General features: G+C 42.5%; 1 annotated feature.

The window, feature by feature from the left end:
• Positions 1726 to 1785: an enhancer, noted in NCBI's record as "active region_27599". NCBI's record gives its function as "activates an Ori minimal core promoter by ATAC-STARR-seq in GM12878 lymphoblastoid cells {active_cell/tissue: GM12878}" and the evidence as "EXISTENCE:reporter gene assay evidence [ECO:0000049][PMID:35858748]".

The following is a 2598-nucleotide window of genomic DNA, read 5'->3' as shown; positions in this document are numbered from 1 at the left end:
GAATTCAACCTCTGTCACATTCAGTTCTATTCCACTCATTTGTGGATTTTTCAACTACAGGTTAATGCCAAGGCCCCCCAGTAACAATATTTTTGGTCCTAGAATGGCTGCATTTTCACTGCCTTTCAGGGTTTTTAGAACTAGAGTAGTTTCTTTCCTTTCCATATTCTTCCTTCTTGCCTCTATCTTTAGTGGTTTTGTGACCTTGGGGAAATTACTTTACGTGTCTGAACTCCATATTCCTCAACCCCAAAGTGGGTACTTGTTTTTAAAAAAATTATTTGTTGTTGAGTACTTTACAGGTACTTATAGGATTTACTCTTTTGCTGGAAATAATGTGTTTAAATATTTAATTATAATAAAGTGTGATGCATACTTTGCAGTTACAGTTAACCATAATTCAAGGCAAACCATACAGAGGAGGATGATTCATTGTTGGGAATGATCAGGGAAGATTTCAACAGCAGTGAAATAAAAGTGGGCTGTGAAAGGTGAGCTGGATGTGTCAGGCAGAGAACCTAGTGCTTCTCAATGCGTAGGCCTTAGACAATCATTATCAGACTCACCTGTGAGCTTTTTGAACCACAAATTTACTAACTCCATCAGATGGACTCAATCAGAGTCTGGAAATGGAGCTCAGGGAACACGCCTAACAAAGCCTCCAGGTGATTAAAGTTTGAGAAACAATGCATTAGGTGGCCCTAATCTAGGCCAATGAGTCAGAGGCCGCTGAAGGAGGTGGTATTTAATCTGAGGAGTGAGGGATAAATTGGGGTAATGGGTAGAGGCTGGGAGATTCTCAGGCAAAGGAAACAGCTAATATGGAGGCCCAGAGAAGAGCTTGGCATATTCAGGTACTAAAATTTTCTGTATTAGCTGAATTAAAATGTGTTTTCTGGGGACCACATGTGAAGCCCATTTGTAAGAGAGTCAGTCTTGGACTCTGTCTAACAGAAATGCCTCAAGGGCTAGAGGGATGGCTATGCTGGTGAAGAGACCCAGTAGAAAAGTGGGTTTGGGAATGAAGGATAAGCAGCATCATGGAGTTTCAGTCCCAGGCCTGGGACAGATCACCCATGAAAGTGCTCCATGTGAGAAAGCCAGGGACTCTTCACTTATCTGATAAATACTTATGGAAGACTCACATTGTGTTAGATGTTCTAGGTGCTGGGAATAGAACAGTGAAAAAATGGGGAGAACAACAATGAAAATACACATGATGTTGGGTGACGACAAGTGCCCTCAAGAAAACTAAAGCAGGGTAAGGGGGTAGAGGGTAAGGGGTGCTGTTACATATGAAAGTTGTCATAGAAGGCCTAAGTCTGTAAGCAGAAACTTGAACGGAGATCTGAAGAAACTGAGGGGCTGTTTTGTAGATATCATTTCCTTCCAATTTGGTCTCAAGGTCTCATTTGAGAGTGGCTATAAATTCTAGCCCTGAACAGAAAAGAAGTTAGATTTGGGTGTATCAGTCAGGTGAGACACAGAGGAAGCAGCACAACAAAACCCATGAAATGGCAGAAGCATTTTGATCACTTACAGCCCCCAAAGAGAAGAAAGCAGCAGGCTTCACAGGGCCAGAGGGAAGGTGAGGGAGTGAGGAAGTTGTCCCCTACAAGCCTGCTCAACCAGTGAGTTGGGAGCAAGAGAGGATCTGTGGGACCAAAGTCTTTACTGGAGTTCAGGGTGTTACCCAAGCAGGCTTCCTATAGGGACCTTCTAATTGGTGGGTTTAAAGGCAACAGGCATGAATTCCAAGGGGTCACACAGTGACTGAGAGGTGATTATTGCAGCACTTCTATGCAGTGCCTGTAGAGTGTGGGGAATAAGAGGGGCGAATCAAGTAGGAGTATCTAGCTGAGCCATAGGGAGGTTGGAGAGTTGGTCACCAAAAGGCAGTGGTAAAAGGTGATATCTGGCCTGACCACATAGAGGAACTGGGAGGGGGGGGTGTAACTGGAAACTGTGTCAAGGACAAATGAGTCCTGCTTCTGGTATGAGAAAGTGAAACTTATATTCAAAATACATATCAAAGCAACATAAAATTTGTAAACCAAGAATAAAATTCTAGTCCCTACCCAACTGAATGGACCCCTACTCTAAGCCCAGGGCATTTCAAAGTTAACCTGAAAAGCTAGTTCAGGCCATGATGGGAAGAAGGGATTGGACATGCCTCATTATACCCTGCTCCCTTTAGTATTTAGGCACAACTGACCAGCATTAACATTACAACAGGTTATTTGTAGCAATAAGATACCAACACCACAGATTGCAGGCCCTGAAAGAAGTCAAAGAAAGTATTTTACCCCAAAATATATTTCTTTGACATATTTTGAAATGTCTTTGCAAAACTGTCTATTATGGGGAAAATGTACATTCTGTAGAGCATCCCTTTCCTTTCCAGGTCTTTTCCCTGATCCAGGAGACAATTAACTAAGAATCTGGCACCTTTTTAAGTTGATAAGAAACATTTACAGCCTATTCTCTCTGAAGCCTGCTACCTGGAGGCTTCATCTGCATAAGAAGCTTGTTCTCCATAATGCCTTCTTCTAACCCAGACACTCCCTTCTGTTGATTCCAGGTCTTGAAATAATAACT

The sequence above is a fragment of the Homo sapiens genome, chromosome 8, assembly GCF_000001405.40.
Source record: "Homo sapiens chromosome 8, GRCh38.p14 Primary Assembly".
NCBI classification, from domain to species: domain Eukaryota; kingdom Metazoa; phylum Chordata; class Mammalia; order Primates; family Hominidae; genus Homo; species Homo sapiens.
This window is presented reverse-complemented; position numbering and strand designations above follow the sequence as displayed.